At 39.3% G+C, this 23,724-nt stretch overlaps 1 protein-coding gene across 3 annotated transcripts in view, besides 4 other annotated features; it reads left to right on the top strand.

The window, feature by feature from the left end:
• The window catches only part of RSPO2 (R-spondin 2), a 184,305-nt gene continuing 180,402 nt past the window's right edge, over positions 19,822–23,724 (top strand). Inside the window, exons 1-2 of one of the 3 annotated variants that reach the window (NM_178565.5) lie at positions 19,822–20,245; positions 20,635–20,897. In NM_178565.5, coding sequence (NP_848660.3) covers positions 20,804–20,897 — 94 coding nt within the window. In that variant the 5' untranslated portion in view covers positions 19,822–20,245; positions 20,635–20,803. Of the gene's footprint in view, positions 20,519–20,634; positions 20,898–21,485; positions 21,576–23,724 lie in introns of those variants that run through there. The other 2 variants (NM_001282863.2, NM_001317942.2) reach the window with 2 other exon arrangements.
• Positions 20,683–21,629: an enhancer, noted in NCBI's record as "H3K4me1 hESC enhancer chr8:109094041-109094987 (GRCh37/hg19 assembly coordinates)". NCBI's record gives its function as "activates a minimal SCP1, AML or CMV promoter by ChIP-STARR-seq in naive H9 embryonic stem cells {active_cell/tissue: H9 hESC(naive)}" and the evidence as "EXISTENCE:reporter gene assay evidence [ECO:0000049][PMID:30033119]".
• Positions 20,683–21,801: a biological region, named in NCBI's record as "Sharpr-MPRA regulatory region 222".
• Positions 20,791–20,966: a silencer, noted in NCBI's record as "fragment chr8:109094704-109094879 (GRCh37/hg19 assembly coordinates)". NCBI's record gives its function as "represses an EF-1alpha promoter that drives an FKBP-Casp9 reporter gene in an ReSE screen in HepG2 liver carcinoma cells {active_cell/tissue: HepG2}" and the evidence as "EXISTENCE:reporter gene assay evidence [ECO:0000049][PMID:32094911]".
• Positions 21,507–21,801: a silencer, noted in NCBI's record as "tiled region #222; HepG2 Repressive non-DNase unmatched - State 22:ReprW, and K562 Repressive non-DNase unmatched - State 21:Repr". NCBI's record gives its function as "represses a minimal TATA promoter and a strong SV40 promoter by Sharpr-MPRA in HepG2 and K562 cells {active_cell/tissue: HepG2 | K562}" and the evidence as "EXISTENCE:reporter gene assay evidence [ECO:0000049][PMID:27701403]".

Below are 23,724 nucleotides of genomic sequence, written 5' to 3'. Positions count from 1 at the left end.
ATAAGTAAAGTCTATTTTTCCTGCATTGAGAGCAAAGCAATCTAAGTCTCTGCTTGGAGAAGTTATGGTGAATCTTTTTTTTTTTTTTAACATTCTCAGGCATTGTAGATCTGTGAATTGTGCACACGAATAATGGATTTTTGGCATTCTCTTTAATGTACAACATAGGTATTGAGAAATAAAAAAGTTTATATAGATAGACAAAATGATATTTCAAATATTGCATTTTTTTTCTGAATCAATTTAATTTCAGAGCATGTAGTCCTGGAAGGAAAGTAATTCAGGAGTTTACTTTAAAGAATATTGGTGTTCATGCCTCAAAGACAATTTAATGATATATGAGTCAGCTTTGCTGTTGTAACAAATGATTCCCCAGTCTCAATAACTTGGAACAACAAAGGTATCTGAGGTCCATCAGTGGCTCTGCTGTACATGTCCTCTTAATTCCAGGATCCAGGATAGAATAGCAACATGCCATTCTTACACCTAACGAAAAGGGCAAGAAAAACATTTTATGTTCTTAAAGCTTCTGCTTGGATGTGGCATGAGTCTCACATGCTGCTGACCAAAGCAAGTTGTATGGCCAAGACATACCAACGAGGCAGGAAACTATGTTTCTCCCATAAGAAGACACTGCTAAGTTCCATGGCAATGAATAAGATTAACAATCACTCTAAAGAAAATGGGGAGTAAATACTTAAGAACCACAGTACAATCTACCAGAATGATCAAGAACTTCTATAAGCCCATTACCAGTCAGTCTAGGGTGCTTCCAGCCTCCAGCTTCTTTTCATGATTTAAATCAGAACTTACCCACTATGAGGAACACATCCATAGTTCTCTCCTCCTGTTGTTTGATGTGTACTCAGAATATTTAAAAAATAAATCATTATTTGCATAAGCAGAAAAAAACTGGAAATGTCAGTATTCTAAAAGAAAGCATTGGCCGGGCGCAGTGGCTCAAGCCTGTAATCCCAGCACTTTGGGAGGCCGAGGCGGGCGGATCACGAGGTCAGGAGATCGAGACCATCCTGGCTAACACGGTGAAACCCCGTCTCTACTAAAAATACAAAAAAATTAGCCGGGCGTGGTGGCGGGTGCCTGTAATCCCAGCTACTCGGGAGGCTGAGGCAGGAGAATGGCGTGAACCTGGGAGGCAGAGCTTGCAGTGAGCCGAGATCATGCCGCTGCACTCCAGCCTGGGCAACAGAGCGAGACTCCATCTCCAAAAAAAAAAAAGAAAGAAAGAAAGCATTGTAATGTAGCCCCACAACTGGAGGCATTCACAATTCCCCAAATATTGCTTAAAGTTTTCAAATTTTTCCACCTTCTCTTATTCTTTTTCACTTTCTTTCTCTGCATTCCAACCTGTTCTTCTCCCTTCCCCAAAATGCAAAAATTTTCTTTACTGTATTTCTTACTTTTTCTCAATTTATTTTCTTTGTTATTTCCTTTTCTCTTTTCATTTCAGTAAATTCACTCCTTTATTCAATCGATGTTACCTCCTGGATACATCTAGGATATCAAGACAAAATTGACATGGTCCCTACCTCAGTTTATGAAATTAGAAGTCCTACTAAGTGTGTTCAAGGTACTTTATAACTCTGAATCCATATGATTATTTGCTCCCAAAGGCATGTAGATTTGTAGCATAGACAAAGATATAGAAAGTAAGCTACAATACAAAATAAACATTTTTATTCGATTTTGTGGAGACAGGGTCTCACTATATTATCCAGTCTGGTCTCAAACTCTTGGCCTTAAACAATCTTCCCATCTCAGCCTCCCAAAGCACTGGGATTACAAGACAGGAGCCACTGTGTCTGGCCTACAAAGTAAACTGTTTTAAGGGACAAGAAAGGGTAATTCGTAAGGTGCTATGAAAATTCAGAAGAAGGAGATTATTTTAGGATAGGTTGGCAATATATCAGTCTCATTATTTAAATTTTCTAATCATTTCCTCTTTTTAAATTTTCTTTCTACTTCATTGACAAACTCTCTCTTTTTCAGATATTTCACCCGTGGTGCCTAGCCATGGGCTCTGAATATAATTCTTCTATACCAGGACTATTTTGTTTGCAATTTACAGGGACTCAATTCAAGCTGGTTTAAGTAAGAGAAGGAAATGTACTGGTCATAAAATGGAAATGTGTCAGGCATTTAGACATAGAGTCTAGAAAGGATGTCATCAGGAATCTGTTTTTCTTTTTCAACTTTTCTTTTTCTGGTTTTGGTGTTCACAGGTGATATGGTTAGTCTTTGTGTTCCCATGCAAATCTCATCTTCAATTGTAAACCCCAGGTGTGGAGGGAGAGACCTGGTGGGAGGTGATTGGATCATGGGGGCAGTTTCCCCCATGCTGTTCTCATGATAGTGACTGAGATCTCACTAGAGCTGATGGTTTAATAAGGGGCTCTTCCCCCTTTCCTTCTCTCTCTCTCTCTCTCTCTCCCTCCTGTCACCTTGTGAAGAAGATGACCACTTCCCCTTCTGCCATGATTGTAAGTTTCCTGAGGCCATCCCAGCCATGCAGAACTGTGAGTCAAGTAAACCTCTTTCTTTTATAAATTACCCAGTTGTGGAAATTTCTTTATAGCAGTGTGAAAATAAGCTAATACAACAGGCAAGCTCTTTCCTCATGGCTTCAAGATAGCCACCAGACTCACAACCTACCAGTTTAGTAACCTAAACTGGAAGAGCAGTTCCAGTTCTCTCAGGTGTTCCATCAACAGTTCTACTTTCATTGGTTTGTCTTGGGAAACAGTCTCACTCCTGAATCAATCACAGTGACAATGAAAATGGAATGTTTTAATTGGTCAGGCTGGGGTCATGTTACCACTCTTGTGGTCTACAGAAAGGTAAGCCTTACTTATAAATGGATGGGGTTGGATGAGTAACTTTAAGGAAAATAAGATTGCTTTTTTAGAGGAAGGGGAAATGGAAAGTAGACATGCAAAAGCAACAGGTATCTGCTACATAGCAGGGGCTTACTAGTGCATTTTGATTAGAATGTTATTATTGCTTTTATTCATTATATAGGCATGTATGGATGCAAAGAAAATCCTTTCTTCTCTTCCCAAAATCTTATTGTTCTTAGCCTTTTCTTTCTATCTTATTTGCTGCCAAATCTATGCCCTGTAGATATCATCAAGCTTCATTTTTACTTCTTTAAATACATTAAAGCATGACTGTTTTATAGTATGTCTGATTACACCAACATTTGGGATCTTCATGGATCTTTTTAGTTTGTTTGTTGTTTCTTACCCACAGTGCTTTTTGTGTGTATGTATCTGATTATCCTTTATTTTATGCTAGTCATTGTGTTTGAAAAATTATTTGCAGGAATAATGGAGTCCAAGATGAAATTACTTTATTCCCAGACAGGTTTTGAATTTGCTTCTGCCAGCACCTGTGGACACTATCAGTCTAGGATCACCTTAATTTAAATTCAATGCTTCAGGGTCCCTAAACCACCCAAATGATGTAAATGTGGGATGCAAGATGTGATGAGGACTGATTTACTACTGAGCTACCTTGACGCTGAGGGTATAACTATTGTACCAGTTTATTATGAGAGAGGTCTTCTAGTTTATTCCTCAATTGGTGTGTGCTTCTATTTCTCTTGCCACAATGGACTTTCTTCGTCTTGAGAAAATTAAAATTCAAAATTCGTAAGTTGGGCAAATACCCTCAGGATGAAAGTAGCTTTTGTTCTTACTTACCTTCCTAGGGTCTTGTTTGGCCTGTAATTTCCTTATTATATTAATGCTTCCTTGGCTGTTTATTAATATTATGTTCATCATTTTTAGTTGTTTTCAGCAGGTGGGTTGGTTCAAATAGTCTAGCTTACCATTTCTGGGATCTAAAAGTCTTCTTTCTGGAAGTTCTGGCCTACTCTTCATCATGCCTGATCTTCTCTTTCTGTTGTATTCTTTCCCAGTTTTCTGCCCCTATTCTCTCATCATACTCTGCTTGTGGATAGGCCCTGCTAGGATGAGATACTCAAACCTCTGTTTCTTAATGTGGCTTCATGAATCAACTTTTCATGATCTTTGATGTGTATCTTTCTTTCTCTGTCTTTGGATTGATAGTAACAGGTTGCTTCTGATTTCCCCAATACACTATTGCACTGGTCCATTTGAACTCTGGTATGCTTTGGGAATACCTACCTTTCTAATCTTAAATCATTTCTACCATCTGGAAGCATGATAAAAATTAGTGTGACACAGGCAAAGATACAAATAATGTTACATATTTAGAATTGTATTACATACATGTTTGCATGTAAAATATTTCCTTTACTTTCTGTCCTTCTTAGAAAATATTGGCCAGCCTTCTTTACTTGTTATTGTCCTTTTATGTTCTTTAGATTTGAGTTATTTCCTCTCAATTTTCTCCTTGGCTTATTCACTGCTTCTCTTCCTGTAGGTCCCTTACATTTAATTGTTTTTTCAAGGTTTTCTCTTTGGATTTTGCCTCCATACCAAGACAACCTCTTCCATTTTCACAGCCTCATTGTATTATATGTGCACTTCATAATTAAATTTTATATCTCTAGTTATGGCTTCTGCAAGGTGCTTCAGTTCCACATTATTCCCAAATGATTTCTTGCTATTTCTATGAGGATGCTGTTCATGTTCCAAAATTCTACGTTTCCAAAATTGTATTCTTTCTTTCTCCTAAGACCCCTAAGACACTCCTAATCTTCTTTAGGATTGTGTTTTTTTGGTAATAACATCAACATTTACCCAGTCTTCCAAAATAGAAACTTCAGCATCATCTTTGTTTTCTACCTCTCCTACTCCCATATTGAACCGGTCATCTTCCTTCCTTTTCATTTCCACTAACATTGCACTGGTTTAGTTTCATATGTATGTATGTATTTCTGTATATACAGTTGATACTCATTATTCAGATTCCATATTTGCAAATTTGCCTTCTCACTTGGAACAGCAAAGGTATCTGAGGTCCATTAATGGCTCTGCTGTACAGGTCCTCTGTACATGTAACCCCAAAATTAATATTTGTGGCACTTTCACAGGGAGTCATGGACATTCACAGAGTGTTGAAAAATTTGAGACTTTCAGTGTGCACATTTCCAGTGTGTTGATAAGATGCTGTTCTGCCTTCTCGTTTCAGCTTTCATACTGCAAACAAGTGTCCTTTTTGCAATCTATTTAGCGCCAGCCTTTTTACATTTGTGTGCTTTTGTTGATGGCTTCTCCCTTTCTTTCTTTCTTTCTTTCTTTCTTTCTTTCTTTCTTTCTTTCTTTCTTTCCTTCCTTCCTTCCTTCTTTCTTTCTTTCCTTCCTTCCTTCCTTCTTTCTTTCTTTCTTTCCTTTCTTTCTTTCTTTCTTTCTTTCTCTCTCTCTCTTTCTTTTCTTTCTTTCTTTCTTTCTTTCTTTCTTTCTTTCTTTCGTTCCTTCCTTCCTTCCTTCCTTCCTTCCTTCTTTCTTTCTTTCTTTCCTTTCTCTTTCTTTCTTTCTCTCTCTCTCTTTCCTTTCTTTCTTTCCTTCCTTCCTTCCTTCCTTCCTTCCTTCCTTCCTTCCTTCCTTTCTTTCTTTCTTTCTTTCTTTCTTTCTTTCTTTCTTTCTTTCTTTCTTTCTTTCTTTCTTTCTTTCTTTCTTTCTTTCTTTCTTTCTTTCTTTTGGATGGAGTTTCACTTTTGTTGCCCAGGCTGGAGTGTAATGGCACAATTTCGGCTCACCACAACCTCCACCTCCCAGGTTCAAGTGATTCTCCTGCCTCAGCCTCCTGAGTAGCTAGGATTACAGGCATGCACCACCATGCCTGGCTAATTTTGTATTTTTAGTAGAGACAGGGTTTCTCCATGTTGGTCAGGCTGGTCTCAAACTCCCGACCTAAGGTTATCTGCCCACCTTGGCCTCCCAAAGTGCTGGTATTATAGGCATTAGCTGCCGTGCCTGACCGATGGTTTCATTCTTTAAAATCATTCCCAGCTGAGGTGTAAAAGTACTGTCTAGTATTCCTAAGTGCAAGAAGAATGTGATGTGCCTTATGGAAGAAAATACATGTGTTAAATAAGCTTCCCACAGGCATGAGAAATAGTACTGTTGCCATGAGTTTGGTGTTAATGTATTAACAATATATATTAAATAAAGTGTCTTTAAACAGAAGCATACGTAAAACAAGATTATGTAATGATTAGTTGATGAAAATGTTGTGATCAAAGGCTTGTAGGAACCTAAGGCTGTATTTCTCATAGGAATAATGTTCCAGTGTTCACTGATTCAGTGTTCATAGTGATTTTATAGAACCTATCCATCATAAGTAATAAGAATCAACTGTAATGTATGTGCATACATATAATATATAATATGGTCATATAATATATAATGAATCATATTATTATATATGTGTGTGTACATATAGTTTTTTGTAACCAACCTCTTAACTGGTTTTCTTTCAAGGCATTCTCAGTATTGCCAAAGTAATTATCTTTTTAATGTAGAATCGAATATGTTACAAGTCCTACTTAAAATTGAAAATCTTCAATGCATTGAATATAAAATTTATATTTGTTTGCATGGAAGTCCAGTTCACTTATCTACTTTGCCAATCTAAACTTTCATCTTCCCTCCTTCACTCTGTGCCACACCCAAATAGCACATTGGTCGGTTAGACAACTATTTGACTTTATAGCTCTCTGTTTTCCCTCTTCTATCACTTTTGACTTAAATGCCCTTTCTAACTTCTCTGATAAAATCCTACTCAGCCTTCAAGACCAAGCTCATATATCATCCTGCAATGCTTTTCTTGACACTTACACAAAAGAAGTAATGGCTCTTTATATTTATTTCCAGTTCACATTTGTCACTGTTGCAGAGGTAGTTACAAATATGGGAAGCGGAAAGGCTAGAATAAGCTTAGTGTTGGATTGGAATAGGAGAGTACATAAAGAATTCATGTTTTTAACTCTGACACTGAAAAGAGCTAGAAGCTATGACACTACAGCAGCAATGTATACACTCAGCATCCAGCTTTTCATTTCATAATATAATTCTCCACTAAAAGAAGCCAAGACTGCCTGGAGAAAAGATGCATTCCAAGGCTTGAAGAAGGAAAATACAAGATGAGTCTGGAAGTTATGGTTGTAAAAAAAGTAAAAATGAATTCGAAATATGTTGAGAACATATCAGAAGGACACAGAACCTAGTTTAAAATTTCCTCACAGACCAAATCTGGGACAAATCAAACATCAAAATAAATATAATAACACAATATAACTTATTAAACAAAATAAGAATCCATGGATCCAGACTGATACCAATCAATCATTCCTGGAAAAGAGAAAGCTTCCTTCCTTCCTTCCTTCCTTCCTTCCTTCCTTCCTCCCTCCCTCCCTCCCTTCCTCCCTCCCTCCTTCCCTCCCTCCCTCCTTCTCTCCCTCCCTCCTTCCCTCCCTCCCTGATCATAGCTCACTGCAACCGCCAACTCCTGGGCTTAGGTGATCCTCCCACTTCAGCCTCCCAAGTACCTAGAACTACAGACACACACCATCATGCCCGGCTATTTTTTAAAATTTATTTTATTTTATTTTATTTTATTTTTTGATGGAGACAGGGTCTCACTATATTGCCAAGGCTGGTCTCAAATTCTTGGCCACAAGTGATCATCCTTCCTTGGCCTCCAAAAGTGGTGGGATTGCAAGAATGAGCCACTGGGCCCAACTGAAAAGGCTCTTTCTTACAGTAAAATGACAACTAAGAATTGTGGAAAAAATAATATAGTCAGAAAGTTACAATTTGGCAAACATCAGAGTAATAATTGATCAGACAAAAATTACTAATAGATACCAAAATTAGTGGGTGAAATTTTAATGAGAACGAGAACATTTACATAGTTCCAAAGTGTTTTCCATATATTAATTATTAACGTCAAAAGGAAAAATAGTGACTTTACCATGTAAAATCCTGACAGAAAACATCTTAACCAAGTACTGGGTAATGGAACAGATCAACGTTCTCTTCTTCTTGACGTGATGGGACAGACCAACATCATGTTCCTTTTGATGTGATGTCCTACGGCAAATACCACAACAATTCTACAGCATTTCTCCTAAAGAAAGCATAACCTCAATCTAGTTATGAAGAAACATCAGAAGCCAAACTAAAGGACACGGGACAAAATGAACTGTGCTTTTGAAAACATCAAGGACATGAATGACAAAGTAAGCCTGAGGAACAGTTCTAGGCTAAAGGGGACAAACAAGCATGACAACTGGTATAGTATATAATTCTTATATAATTCTTGACTCAATCCTGGTTTGGAGAACATGTTTGTAACTTATTGGACATATTGGACAGCTCAGAATGTTTGAATATAGACTTTGGATTAGATAATAATGTTACATCAATATTAAGTTTTCTAATTTTCGTAATATTGAGGTTATATAAGTAGGTGTTACTGTCTCAGGAAGTATACACTGAAGTATTTAAGAGTAACAGACCATGTTTAAAGTTTACTCATCAATGGTTTATATTTTTCAAATGCAAAGCTATAAAGTAAATGATAAAGGAAATGAAGTAAATTTTAAGTAACTGGTGATACTTGGTAAAGGCTATTTGGGAGTTTTAAATATGGTATCAGAATAAAAAGTACTAAAATAAAATAAAAACCTTGGAAGTCAAAGACAATCTATTGTTTATTTATTTACTTTTTATTTTTTAACTCTTCTCAGTTGGGATGTAAGTTTCATAAGGGGAAAGATCTTGTCTTCCTTTCTCACTGCTGTATCCTTAGCACCCTAACAATGTCAATATAAAGGACATCATTAAATATTTGTTGAATGAATAAAGGCAAAACACATGAAGAAAAACAACAATAGAACAGACTTGCATGCTTCTACTTTTGCTCTTTCTAGAAACTCCATTAAATCTTCAGCAAAATACTTTTTTTTTTTTCAAAAGGGGAAGAGTCTACAAGGAAAAGAAGAATAAAAGAGAAAACAATCACTATCCACCCCCAACCCTCCCTGTTCCTCCAGAAGTTACCCTTTTGGAAGAATCCTGGCAAACTTTTCTCTGGGAAATCTGACCAACCAGTGAAAACAATTAAATAAATTATATTTGGATTCCCCTAATAAATTTCTCAGTCAGTTGACTTATGGTCCATTTTTACCATATGGTAAAGCTCAAGTTGAAAAGCATCACCCAAGTGTGATGAGTTATTAATCAGCCTTTTATCTCACTTTTAAATATAAGCAAATATCTAAGGATTACCACATATCAAGAAAATCCTCAAATCCTTAAAGATGAAAGGTAAAGACACAGAGAAAAGCAGCTTGGAAGAAACAGACTAATATACAGGAAAGAAATTTGTATAAAGAAAAGGAGACCTCTTGCATTTTAACAAAATGAGAAAAGCAATGAAAAATGCATTAGAAGAATTGGAGGATAAAATTGAGAGAATATTCCAAAAAGTAGAGAAAAAGAGACAAAGAGATGAAAAATAGGAGAGAAAGTGTAGAAAAATTAGAGGACCATTCTATACAGTCCAATATTTGAATAATAGTTATTCAAAAAAAAAGAGGCAAGAAAATGAAGGGGAGAAAAATCCACAAAACATCTCAAGAATATTTCAAGACTGGAAGGACATAAAGTTGCAGATGTAAAAGGTCATCAAACTTCCAGCAAAGTCAATGAAAATAGATCCACACTTAAGTACTTTTAGTGAAATTTCAGGCCTGTAAGCTTCTGGGACAAGGAACATAAAAAAGAATCAGTAATTAGAGTGGTTTTTGCCTTCTGCCAAGCAATATTGGAAGGTAAAAAGCCATGAAGAAATGCCTTCAAAATACTAAAGGAGAATGATTTCAATCTAGAATTTTATACAGTCAAACAATCAGTTGTGAGGGTAGAATAGGGACATATTTTGAATGTGCAAAATTTCAAAATATTTATCCCTATGCAAAATTTTAAGGAAACTCTTGGAGAATATTCTTCACCACAAAAAAGGATTAGGAAAAAGGAAGATATGAGACACAGGAAACAAAGTCCACCAGAGGTGAGAGAGAAAGGGAATCCTTAGGAAGATGGTGAGGGGACATCCCAGAATGAAAACTGTGTATCAGGCACAAACGTGAACTAGTCTAGCTGAAGCATGCCAGAGCTTTCAAAAGGGATGTTAAGAAGATGAAATTGATGGCCTACGTGGTATGAATGAAGGTATTAAGAGGTAATTAAAATGACCTGAAGAAAGTTTGGGTTGAATTCCTGGTAAAAAAAAAAAAACTCTGCAAAGGAGAAAACAAGGTGATGATAATTCCAGAGAAAACAAAAAGTTGCCAGAAAAGTAACTGTAGTCACAGTTTCCTACATGACTCAGCTCTGAATAACATATTTAGTCATAATAATAGAACCACATAATATTGATCTAACCATATTTGAAGAATGGGAGGAGGGTGGATAGGGAAGAAGTGGGAGAAAAACAAGTTTTCATTTTTTTGTAGTGGAAAATCAATATATAATATTTGTGTCCATCATGATTCAGTCAGGGGAACAGAGTCACTGGGTGTTATAAATAATGGATTTACGATAGGAACGAGATCTTACAGCTGAGGAAGTAAAGTTCCGAAAAGGGAACGGGAGGATCAGAGGAGCCACTAACATGTCTGAGAAGCCAAGCATGCCCAGCCACCATAGTGTGGTGGCGACAGAGAAATTTTTGGAGAGGTCTTTGGAAAGATATTGACTCTATAACTAGATGGTGGTGGGCCTGGGCTCTCTCTGAGGGTCCCCAGGGACATTAGTCAGGAGGAAGAGCTAGACATCATGCAGAGAATGAGTTACAAGCTGCTACTGGCTGTAGACCTCTGCTGTGTCCCTCATTATCTTACTGTGAAAAGACTTTCTGAAAGTCTTAACAAATTTTATTTTTGCATCTCTACCCCACCAAACTTCATATAATTCCTCTTCTATCCAACTCTAACACAAAATCGTTATACAGCAGAGGCTTTGGGAAATACAGTTCCCAACTGACCCCAGGGAACACACTGTAAATCACAACAGTCCATCCCTTGACAGTCTGGCACCCAACCCATGCCTCTTTTAACCACATTTAATTCCCAAATTTGTGCTTCCACATAACATGTCACACTTATGCACACAAAAACATACTGACTTTCTTCCCAAAAGGAAATATACAAAGTCCCACATGCCCATTTATTCATCCTGGGGTAATATTCATTCTTTTATCTGAGTCACACTTGCTATTTCATATTCTATAGTCTAAATACTGAGATATAAGGTTAACTACAGTTAACACATCTTATGTTAGATAATAGAGGAATATGAGATAAAAATATTGATATTTGATATTCATTTTAAATCAAGGAGGAAATACTTATAACTGCTATAGTCTGTGTTTTGCAACTAGTCATATGATTGTAGCTGGTATTTATTTATTTATTTTGAGGCAGAGTCTTGCTTTGTCGCCCAGGCTGGAGTGCAGTGGCGCGATCTTGGCTCACTGCAACCTCTGCCTCCCGGGTTCAAGCAATTCTCCAGCCTCAGCCTTCCAAGTATCTGGGACTACAGGCACATACCACCACACCTGGCTAATTTTTGTATTTTTAGTAGAGACTGGATTTCACTATGCTGGCCAGGCTGGTCTCAAACTCCTGGCCTCAGGTGATCCACCCGCCTCAGCCTCCGAAAGTGCTGGGATTACAGGCATGAGCCACTGCACTCAGCCTGTAGCTGGTATTTATAACTTATTTTTTCTCTAGGACTGAAATAGGTGAGCAGCTTACTAATGCCTTTCTTGATTTGTATAGCAGAAGTATTTCCTTTCTGACTAACAGAGGTACCACTCGAGTCACTGCAACAGAGAGCCACAGCTCCTTAACCAGTTCCGGACTTGAGCCAGTTCATAGCCCCAGAGCTCATTGAATGAAGAGGTCAAATCTCTGGAACCAGCATCCTCACTGTAAATCTTTTTCCTGGTCTTCCACAATAGGACCTCAGTCCATTTACTCAGATGACTGTGTTTCTGGGAACAGGAACTAATTGGACCTTTGGGGATGACTGGACATTAATTCTAAACTGACCTTAGTTTCTTGATGCCCAAAATGTCATTGTGATTCACCACATTAGAGAGGCTTATGAAGACTGGATGATTTCTGGGGTATTGGCTTGAGCCTATGCCCTAGTGGGCTTAGTTGATCCCCAAACCTACCCCATGTTTATTTCTTCACTTCTGGAGTGAATAGTTAGAATAGACATGTTTAGCAACTAGAAGAATTCCCACATTTGTTCTCTGACCTGTGTATATGTTTTTTATTTTATATCTGTAACAAAATTTTTCCATACTGTTCCAAGGTTAAAAGGGCTTCTACAGATGCACGTGATACTGCAAAGTAGCAAAGTAAAATATATTGCAAATAGCTGAGGAAAATGTGGGAAAGGGAAAATAAGGCTAGAAACTTAAAATGGAGCAAGAAATAAAACTAGTACATAAAATGTGTGACATAAACTTTTGTACATTTGCTGAGGGTGGCTGACAAATTTGTTCTTGAGCAGTAACACAATTCATTACAACTATAAGTTAAAGACAAATGGAATGATTAGGGGAGGCGTATCTATTTTGGATACCAGTACAGAAAAAAGTTCAGAGGAGGATATTTCCTGCCTTTAGGAATTACCTGTTCTATTGTTTACTTCTATTATAGCAAGCTGAGTGTCCACAAATAAAGTAAAACCAGACCTTCTATTCATTTAATGAAAACAACCTAATTTTTAAGAAAACTGAGAATCTCTTGTTACTTGTGTGGAGTAATAGTTCCTTCTAGCAACAACATTCACACCACAAGGAATGGAAATGACACATATTACTTTAGTTCAAAAGAGTTCAGGGCACACAAAATTAAATAAGGGAAATTATTTGAAAACTTTGGGTCAGATCTTGAGTTTTCTCTTTTGAGCTGGTCTGTGTTGGACTTCCTTTGAAGTCAACAAAGCTGCCTCCTGGATTTCTTCCATGGGGATGAAGCACAAAATGAGAAATAGGCTTCATCACATCAGTCCACAGATGAGTACTCAAGTGGCAGAAGGCAGTATTAACATTCGGAGGAGTCAAATATTTACACATTTTTTAAACATTAAATAAGTGATTGTGATGTGGCTTTTTAAAACAACAAATCAGCCTAGATAAGGACTGGTCAGTGACCTTGTTGAAGACCTTTCATATTAATATAATTACTTCACACAAAATATAATAAATGAACATGGGCTATCACATGCAACTGGCAAAACAGACGTGCTTATATTTAACAGGAAAAAACTATCAATAGTAGCACAATGGCAAAAATGCTATAATTTGTTCCAAAGCAATTAAAGGATAAATTCTACACTGGAAGAGTGCATACAATCAATATCAACAATGATTAAAAAGATTGTGAGAAATTTTAAATCTGAGAATGAATAACAGATAACATAAAAGATAACTCTAAATCAATTAGCTAATGAAAACAAGAATCAGTGCCAAAGTCAACCAAATCTATAAGCATAAATGCTTATGAAAGATTCAGAAAACTTTAAATCTATTCTACTGTAGCCCACACTGTACAGTCATAAAATCACTAGCATCCTATGGGTGTTAACATTGAAAAAATATATTGGAAAATTCCTAAATGAAAATCTAAAAATAATGGCACAAGGAAGAGCTTTTTCTTTCTCTTTTTAAAAAGTATACTTTAAGTTCTGGGATACATATGCAGAATGTGTAGGTTTGTTACATAGGTATACATGTGCCATGGTGGTTTGCTGCACCCATCAACCCATCATCTACATTAGGTATTTCTCCTAATGCTATCTCTCCCCTAGCCCCCAACCCCCTGACAGGCCCTGGTGTGTGATGTTCCCCTCCCTGTGTCCATGCCTTCTCATTGTTCAACTCCCACTTATAAGTGAGAACATGCAGTGTTTGGTTTTGGTTTTCTGTTCTTGTGTTAGTTTGCTGAGAATGATGGTTTCCAGCTTCAACCATGTCCCTGCAAAGGACATGAACTCTTCCTTTTTTATGGCTGCATAGTATTCCATGGTGTATATGTGCCACATTTTCTTTATCCAGTCTATCACTGATGGGCATTTGGGTTGGTTCCAAGTCTTTCCTGTTGTGAATAGTGCCACAATAAACATATGTGTGCATGTGTCTGTATAGTGGAATGATTTATAATTCTTTGGGTATATACCCAGTAATGAGATTGGTGAGTCAAATGGTATTTCTGGTTCTAGACCCTTGAGGAATTGCCACATTGTCTTCCACAATGGTTGAACTAATTTACACTCACACCAACAACGTAAAAGTGTTCTTATTTCTCCACATCCTCTCCAGCATCTGTTGTTTCCTGTCTTTTTAATGAACACCATTCTAACTGGCATGAGACGGTATCTCATTGTGGTTTTGATTTGCATTTCTCTAATGACCAGTGATAATGAGCTTTTTTTCATATGTTTGTTGGCTGCATAAATGTCTTCTCTTGAGAAGGGTCTGTTCATATCCTTTGCCCACTTTTTGATGGGGTTGTTTTTTTCTTGTAAATTTGTTTAAGTTCTTTGTAGATTCTGGATATTTGCCCTTAGTTAGATGGATAGATTGCAAAAATTTTCTCTCATTCTGTAGGTTGCCTGTTCACTTTGATGATAGTTTCTTTTGTTGTGCAGAAGCTTTTTAGTTTAATTGGATCCCATTTGTCAATTTTGGCTTTTGTTGCCATTGCTTTTGGTGTTTTAGTCATGAATTCTTTGCCCATGCCTATGTCCTGAATGGTATTGCCTAGGTTTTCTTCTAGGGTTTTTATAGTTTTAGGTCTTACGTTTAAGTCTTTAATTCATGTTGAGTTAATTTTTGTATAAGGTGTAAGAAAGGGGTCCAGTTTCAGTTTTCTGCCTATGGCTACCCAGTTTTCCAACACAATTTATTAAATAGGGAATCCTTTCCCCACTGCTTTTGTCAGGTTTGTCAAAGATCATATGGTTGTAGATGTGTGGCCTTATTTCTGAGGCCTCTGTTCTGTTCCATTGGTCTATATATCTGTTTTGATACCAGTACCATGCTGTTTTGGTTACTGTAGCCTTGTAGTATAGTCTGAAGTCAGGTAGCATGATGCCTCCAACTTTGTTCTTTTTGCTTAGGATTGTCTTGGCCATATGGGCTCTTTTTTTTGGTTCCATATGAAATTTAAAGTAGTTTTTTCTAATTCTGTGAAGAAAGTCAATGGTAGCTTGATGGGGATAGCATTGAATCTATAAATTACTTTGGGCACTATGGCCATTATCATGGTATTGATTCTTCCTATCCATCAGCATGGAATGTTTTTTCCATTTCTTTGTGTCCTCTCTGATTTCCTTGAGCAGTGATTTGTAGTTCTCCTTGAAGAGGTCCTTCACATCCCTTGTAAGTTGTATTCCTAGGTATTTTATTCTCTTTGTAGCAATTGTGAATGGGAGTTCTCTCATGATTTGGCTCTCTGTTTGCCTATTGTTGTATAGGAATGCTTGTGATTTTTGCACATTTATTTTGTATCCTGAGATTTTGCTGAAGTTGCTTATCAGCTTAAGGAGATTTTGGGCTGAGACAATGGGATTTTCTAAATATAGGATCATGTCATCTGGAAAGAGAGACAATTTGACTTCCTCTCTTCCTATTTGAATACCCTTTATTTATTGCCTGATTGCCCTGGCCAGAATTTCCAATACTATGTTGAATAGGAGTGGTGAGAGAGGGCATCCTTGTCTTGTGCTGGTTTTCAAAGGCAATGCTTCCAGCTTTTGCCCATTCAGTATGGTATTGGTTGTGGGTTTGTCATAAATAGCGAGGAAGAGCTTTTTCAAGTATGACACAGAGAAGCTATAAAAGATAAGACTGGCAAACTGCACTATGTAAAAGTATTTAAAATTTTTTTACATATTAATATACATCAAAAACAAAGTCAAAAGGTAAATAAGAAACTTGGAAAAATATGCAACTCAAATCACAAAAGACATTATATCAATACATGCAAATTCTACAAACAAAAACAAATGACCAAGAACACAATAGAAAAATAGGCAAATTATATCTTCAGAGAGTTCATGGAAAAGAAAATACAAATGGATGGAGCATACTAAAGACACACAAAATTTCATTTAAAAGAAAATAAATACAAATTAACACTTTACTGAGATACGACTTTTTGCCTACAAGTGTCAAAAGTCAAAAAGTGTTGGTCAGCATCTAGAGATAGGCATTTTCACACGGTGTAATATGAAAGAACCTTTGTGAAAGGCAATTTGCAGAACACACACACATATATCCAACTGTTTGATTCAACTTTTCTACTTTTAAGAATTTATAATGGAAAGGTAAAATGACACATGAAAAAGTTAATTGAAGCATTGCTTAAGATACAAAAAGTATGAAAACAATCTAAATGTATATTGATAGGGAGGCTGGCTAAATACAGCCATACGATGAAATAATATGTGACTATATAAAAAGAACAGGACAGTTCTCTATGAACTGATGCCATGGTGGCTCACGCCTGTAATCTCAGCACTTTGGGAGGCCGAGGCAGGCGGATCACGAAGTCCGGAGATCAAGACCATCCTGGCTAAAACGGTGAAACCCTGTCTCTGCTAAAAATACAAAAAGTAGCTGGGTGTGGTCGCATGTGCCTGTAATCCCAGCTATTCGTGAGGCTGAGGCAGGAGAATCGCTTGAACCAGGGAGTCGGAGGTTCCAGTGAGCCCGGATCGTACCACTGCACTCCAGCCTGGCGACAGAACAAGACTCCATCTCAAAAAAAAAAAAAAAAAACAACCCCTCAAGGTACAGATTAGTGAATACAGTATTCTACTAATTGCATAAAAGAGAGGAAGAATATATTATAAAACAGAGAAGGAAGAATGTATTATATATATGTATACGCACATATTATATGTATGCCTATATATGTGCATGTACATATATATAATACATTCTTCCTTCTTTCCTTGCTTGATAAGCAAAAAGATTATCAAGTTACTTGTTTGATAAGCACCAAACATCTTCTGAAGTATACCAAAAACCGTGAACACTTGTAAAAGAATAACTGATTGACTCTAAGGAGAACTGGATGCCTGAGAGAAGGAGGTAGGAGAGACTTTGCCCTGTTATGGTGTTTTGTAAGGATTGAATTTTGAGCTGTATGAACGAATTACAAGTCAAAAAATAAAATACAGAAGTTATCTCCTCTCTATAACATCATCCCCCACTTCTGCCCTCAGTTAACTTTCCCTATCACCAATGAGTGGTATAGAGTCAACCTCCTCAGTATATCAGTATACTTCTCTGTAAACAGAACCCAGGCACAAGTCTATTTACAAAGCCAGTTTAATGAAACCACTATATAAACTCAGTTTGAAGAAAAAGTCCATTGAGTCTCCAAGATGGAGAAACTGTGAGCTGTGAGCCTCAACAACACCACATTCTGAGTTTAGAAATGAAAGGAAGCAGAGATATGGGATTAAAGTTAATGATAGTCTAGGATCCATTAGGGTTGTATTTTTTAGTAGCAAGAACATTCCTGGGATTTTGAAGTCAGGAAAAATATTCAGTGAATGTAAAAAAAAAAAATTCTGCATTATCAACAAATTAGCCCCAAAGTGATTAAGTGTGAGACTCCAAGTACCCCAAGAACTAAGTCTGACAGAGTTTTAAGGTTCACTGGTGTCTTTTAAGAGGCAGAGATAGACCAGGAGGGAGCAAAAGAAGGAATTAAGAATTTTCCTTTCTTCCAGAGCCTATTCTTTTCTTACTAAACACATTAACCAATTTTCTACAGAAGTGGTACTGTCAAAATTCTTCCTCATGAACTGAATCTGGGGGTTCACTAAACTGAAAAGCATCTCTGGCTAAAAATGCACCAACTGTACAACACAAAAGATTAAAATTAAAATTATGGAAAGTTGTCTTTGAAGGGATAAGGGTGAAGTGGTCTGTAAATTTAACTAAGGAAGGCAGTGGCTAACCCTCTTCTTTCTACACAAAGAACCCATCACTGATGAGTTTGCCCTTACACTGGTTAGATACCATAGCAAACTTCCTAGTACAAATAGAAAATTGATTGTAAACCAGAACATGTAGAAGTGAAAGAGACCTTGGACAGACTTCCTAAAAATACTGCCAAGGAAACTGAGACCAAGAAAATTGCCCAAAGTGACGCAGGTGATTAATGGTAGCGCTACCTCTGCTTGGTCTTGTGTTTACTTTTGCCTTTAAATATTTTAAAAGACACTGATGACCACTGATCTTGAATGGATCTCAAAGCTTTGCAAGGAGGCAGGGGGGCTTACTTAGGGAAGACTTCCTTTCTCCCATAGATTTAACTCCTTTATAAGTATAATTCATTTGTTGTGTGCATATATGACTATATTTGGAAAGAAGTAGTATTTATGGTGCTGAAGAGATATTCAGCATCATATCAAGATGATCAAGAAATATCAAGTTATGCCAAACACTGGGGCCACTCCCTACACTGAAATGTTTCCAAATTCTGTGATAAAAATCAAAGGCTCAAAAGTCAAGAAACAGATCCACTGTTTCTGCAATGTGTTTTGTGAACTCTATTTGTGCCCTGTGGGCCAGTCTCAGTGATGGATTTTCTTATCTATGAAATGGGACCAATGACCTCAACTCAGATTTACTTGGGTGTTCTCAGGCATGCATCAAAGGCATACTGCTGAAATTCTTAGCACATAAATACCACTATGTAATAGTGAGTCTGTAAAATAGTTATGAATAGGCAATAATGGAATAGTTAATAAATATGAGTATTGCAATATTCTTTTTATATGATTGTCTTTTAAGTCATCAAATTTCTGAACATCTTCTGAAACTGAAGGAATAGAAAAGGGAATTTAAATAGTATAAAATGCTATCATAATAATATGGTAACTGCGGGCATATCTATAGACATTCATACTGCCACGGTTAGTGGCATAAATTCTTATCTTTTGCTTAAGGAATAAATACATTTTTTCCTACAGTAGTGAATGCAGGACAGATTTCACCAGAATGAAATTGGATGGCATCAAGTCTATTTAATGTAACACTTTGTTAAACAGAATATTTTCCCCAAACCCAAAGCACCTAAAAGTTTAATTCAGGAGACTTTGGAAATGAGAGGAGGATTAAGAATGAAAAATACTTTAGTGGGAAGTGAACTTTTTAAAATTATTTTTAAAGAATCAAGGCCCCAACTTCTTCAGCACTTCAGGCAACGGATCACAGGTTTTTGTTTTATTGGAGAAGAAACAAAGTAAATAACAGTTCTGAGGATGAACAAAAGCTGTTGGGAATACCCATTTCACTCCTCAAAGTGGGGGCGCGTTTTATGAATAATTTCAGCCGGCTAACATACCTTCCTGCAAAACACAGACAAGATGTAAATTAAAAAGTGGCAGAGTTGTGGCATATTGCAAAAGTTTAAAGGGAGTCATCAGTCCTTCAGTCAGATCTCCCTGCAGAAAGGTTGGCGCTGAGGTTGGAACTGACCCTAGAGGGCTGGAGAGGACCCCTTGGGGGTGAGCAGCCGGGTTCTGGGACCCAGCAAGGTCAGGGGGCGTCTCCCCAGCTACTCTTTATCTATCCCCCGCACTCTGGAAAGCCCGAAGAGGATTCGCTCCAAGTTAGGCGCGCTGTTGGCTGTCAACGTTCTTTAGGACCTCAGGGAAACCGGGACGTTTCTGGCTTTAGGACCCAGGAACTCCGAGGCAGCCTAGACTTAGATGCCTTGGACCACAGCACCACCTACTTATAGAAGCATCCCAAGCCTCAGCCGGTCTGCATCTCCATCGGAAAGTGCGCTTGCCACATCCCTTCGGATCACTTCGTCCTCCCGAGAGCGTTCTGCCTTCTACAGCTCGGAAAGAAAGAAATCTTAGCTGTGAAGTGACCGTGGAGAAAGCGCAGGAAGCGACACAATTGGTTAGGGAGGCAGAGAGTGTGAGCGGGCGCACCCCTTGCCTGGGGACCGCGCTCGCGGGCGGGGACGGAGCATCCCAGTGGCTGCACCCGCCGCTCCGCGCTCCTGCCTGGCGTCGCCAACCCCGCGGCGGCCGCTGGAATTCCAGAGCTGCCAGGCGCTCCCAGCCGGTCTCGGCAAACTTTTCCCCAGCCCACGTGCTAACCAAGCGGCTCGCTTCCCGAGCCCGGGATGGAGCACCGCGCCTAGGGAGGCCGCGCCGCCCGAGACGTGCGCACGGTAGGCAACCCACACCAAGGCAGCCGCAGCTGCGGCGCTTGGGTACACCGCCGTGGACTCCAAATGGCCTAAGAGCGTTCTTTTAGCCCTGCGCTCTCAGTGCCTTTAGAGTTCTTTCCTTTCCCCGGAGCGCCGGCACAACGCATTATGCCGCTGGGTCGGAGCTTAGGGCTCGGCAGAGGTTGCTAATTCACTGATTATAATCACCTTCCTCTCCAACTCGTCCGCAGCTGCCCGCTCTGGATTAAGCCGCTCCGCGGCTCGTGCTAGGCAGTGGGTTCGCTTCCTCCTTCCCTCTCTTCTTTAAATTGGGACGTGCGAAGGCGCAGCTGCCTCCCCGGGGCTCTCTCCATCCCCCACACACCCTGTTTTCGCTTCTTGTCTCTCAGGTTCGTGGCGGAGAGATGCTGATCGCGCTGAACTGACCGGTGCGGCCCGGGGGTGAGTGGCGAGTCTCCCTCTGAGTCCTCCCCAGCAGCGCGGCCGGCGCCGGCTCTTTGGGCGAACCCTCCAGTTCCTAGACTTTGAGAGGCGTCTCTCCCCCGCCCGACCGCCCAGATGCAGTTTCGCCTTTTCTCCTTTGCCCTCATCATTCTGAACTGCATGGATTACAGCCACTGCCAAGGCAACCGATGGAGACGCAGTAAGCGAGGTGGGTCCCTCTCTGCCAAAGGTGCGTGGTGGGCTTCAGGGGTGGCGTGTGGAGGCGCTCACTCACGCCCTGGCTCCGGGGGCTCAGATGGTCAGGGCTGTGCTCTCCACCCCAGCTTTTGCGGGTCCCCAGTCCCCACCTTTAGGACCCTGGAGCTCTACAAAACACTCTGTTTTCTGTACCCTGGAGGCGCGGGGAGCCGGAGCGAGACGCGCTGGGAGCTCGGCGAGCCGGGCGCCAATCGGGCGCTCAGGGCTAAGTCGTGCGGTCCGCACTCATGTTCGCCGCCCCACCTCCTCATCTAAACTTGTCTCTTTAGGACGTATTTCTTATCTGACATGCATTTTTTTTTTGTCGTCGTTGTTCTTCTCTCTGTCCTCCTAACCATCTTCCCTGTAGCTCATTTGTTTTATCTTCCCCATCCACGTGCGCCCCAAACCCGGCCTCAGATCTCTTCGGACTTGACCTAGCATAGTGTGTGTGTGGTGTGTGGGTGTACCCAAGCGTGTGTCTGTATTCCGGAGCTTGGGAGGGGTACCAAGTCGAGGGGGAGGACCTCCCTTTCCAGAAAAAGGCCAACATAGATCTCTTTTTTCTGGAAACTGCGACGAGATGGGAACTTTCTGAATTAAGCAGCAATTCCCGCGCTGGTTTTCTGGGGAGTCCTCGCCTCCAGAGGTTTGTTTTTAAAACAGGCCCCACTTCGCTCTCTCCATTTGCTTTGCAAAAGCAGCCACACCGGTGGAGGCTTCTGTTCTCAATGAAATTCACTTGCGGCTTTTTAACTGCTCCCTCCCTCTCCATCACTTGTGCGTAGCGGAGAAGGCGGGTGGAAGCCTCCAGAAAGGTTTCGGGGAACTCGCTTTCCTGCAGATTTAGTGCGTATTTCTGTCTCGGAGTCCGCTGGAGATGCAACTAATCCAACTGCATTTTAGAAGAAGGGCGGCTAGACACGATTCAATTTTCTGGGTGGATTTAAACATAAACCACTCACCACACGCACATCGAATTACCCGCGCAGGAAGGGCGCGCAGCAGCCCCTTCCCAGGGACCTGGTGAGAGCTGTCTATTTCATTCGGCACTTTGGACTTTTGCGCAATTAGAATTTGTCGCCGGGTTCATGAATGTTGACTTTTTCTCCAAGATGTAAACATCTCACTCGATCTGTGATGTGATTTGTTTATAACTCATTGTGTGTAATCTCCGCTCCTGCATCCAGATTTTGAGGAGGACTTTCCGAACCTTATTTTTTTGATGGCTTTTTAGGACATTGTTAAGCTGTTCTCACCTAGGGGCAGAGCTAGAGATTGGCCCACCTGAGCGCAGAGCTCCAAATAACTGATGGTGTGCGACTTCTGTAGTCCCTGCGCTTCAATTGTCTCTGTATCTGCGGCTTGTAAGAATAAACCTTCTCCAACTTCTCTCCCTCCCTCTCCCCCGATTTCTGACTTTTGGAAATTGTTTATTTTCAGAAATTATTTTACTTAAAAATACTAGAGAGAAATTTCTTCCCAAAGGCCATGAGAGTTTGATATTGATACTTGTCTTGAAAAAGTCCCTTTTTATCTCCTCTCTCCTCCCCTCCTGATTCCTTTCTCAATCCCAGTACTTTCTTTCGAGTATTCGGCAGAGCCAGCAATTTTTGATTACATTATGGTCAAAAGTGTTTGGAGAGGCTTTTCCTCTTTTTATAAGTCAAAGCTGCAGTCTACTTAGAAAAACTAAAGTGCTTGAAGTCTGCAAAATATAGAAATGTCTAAAATCCTTTGCCAGATCCTTATTAGATGACTTGCTAATTCAGTGATGGCTTTCTGATCCACCCTGCCTGTCCCATTGTGGTTGAGTGGGGAAGAACCAAGCATATTGTTTTAGTAGAACTTAATGCAGAGATGCTGTTTGGTGGAAAAGGACATTACAGCACTCCTGCGGCCAGAAGGGATACTGCATGCCTTCTCTGCAGTGCCATCTCTAAGAATCTGCCTATGCCTTCTTAGGTATCTGAAGCAGAACCTATTTATTTCAAAGCTTACTTTTAGCAAAATCTCTTGTAACGATTACCATCCACATCCCAAAGCACTGACAGTCTAACTCTAAATTGTGCAATAGTAACTTATGCCAAATCAACCTTTCGATTTAATAAAATTCAAATGCTTTCAAGAACGTGTAAATTGGTAAGGGTGTAAAAAAAAAATCAAACTTTTTTTCTTCTTCTCAACAGATATCCCTTTACAAATCCCAAGTTTCTGGCTAAAATAACTGTCGTCCTTAAAAGTGACCACACTATCTGTACCAACAAAGGGTGTACTGTGTTTTTAATTAAAAGTGGAACTACTTAAAGGGCTGGCCAGACAGTGTAGGGTGATAGTAGCTTTTCTACTTTGCAGGGAAGCTTAAGGATTGCATTGTGAGAGTATTGAAATGAATAGAGATCTAACTCAAGTTGTGTGAATTGTCCCTCTTCACAAACTTAAGCTGGTTTTAATTGATCTCATGTCCACTGATTGATCCTACACCAATTGTTGTGCATACCAAACAATTGGCTTTCCCCAAAAAGATTGATTTCAATTAGTTCCTCAGTGAATGCTTGACTACTGGCCAAATCATGTCAGCAGTGACAGTTGACATGTTAGGGCCTATGTGATACCAACATTTCCCTTTTTCCCCTTTGTTTTGGATAGTGTCAGTTAAATATTATTTTCCAAGAAGAAAAGTAATTGGTATTTTTTATAAAAGGTGTTGTAGTTTGGAAGATTAGTTATTTTCTTGGCTTTGTGCTACAAGTAGGTGGCAGTGGTACCAGGATTGGTTAGGCTTACCCCTGGGACCT

Source organism: Homo sapiens, chromosome 8 (assembly GCF_000001405.40).
Source record: "Homo sapiens chromosome 8, GRCh38.p14 Primary Assembly".
Taxonomy (NCBI): Eukaryota; Metazoa; Chordata; class Mammalia; order Primates; family Hominidae; genus Homo; species Homo sapiens.
This window is presented reverse-complemented; position numbering and strand designations above follow the sequence as displayed.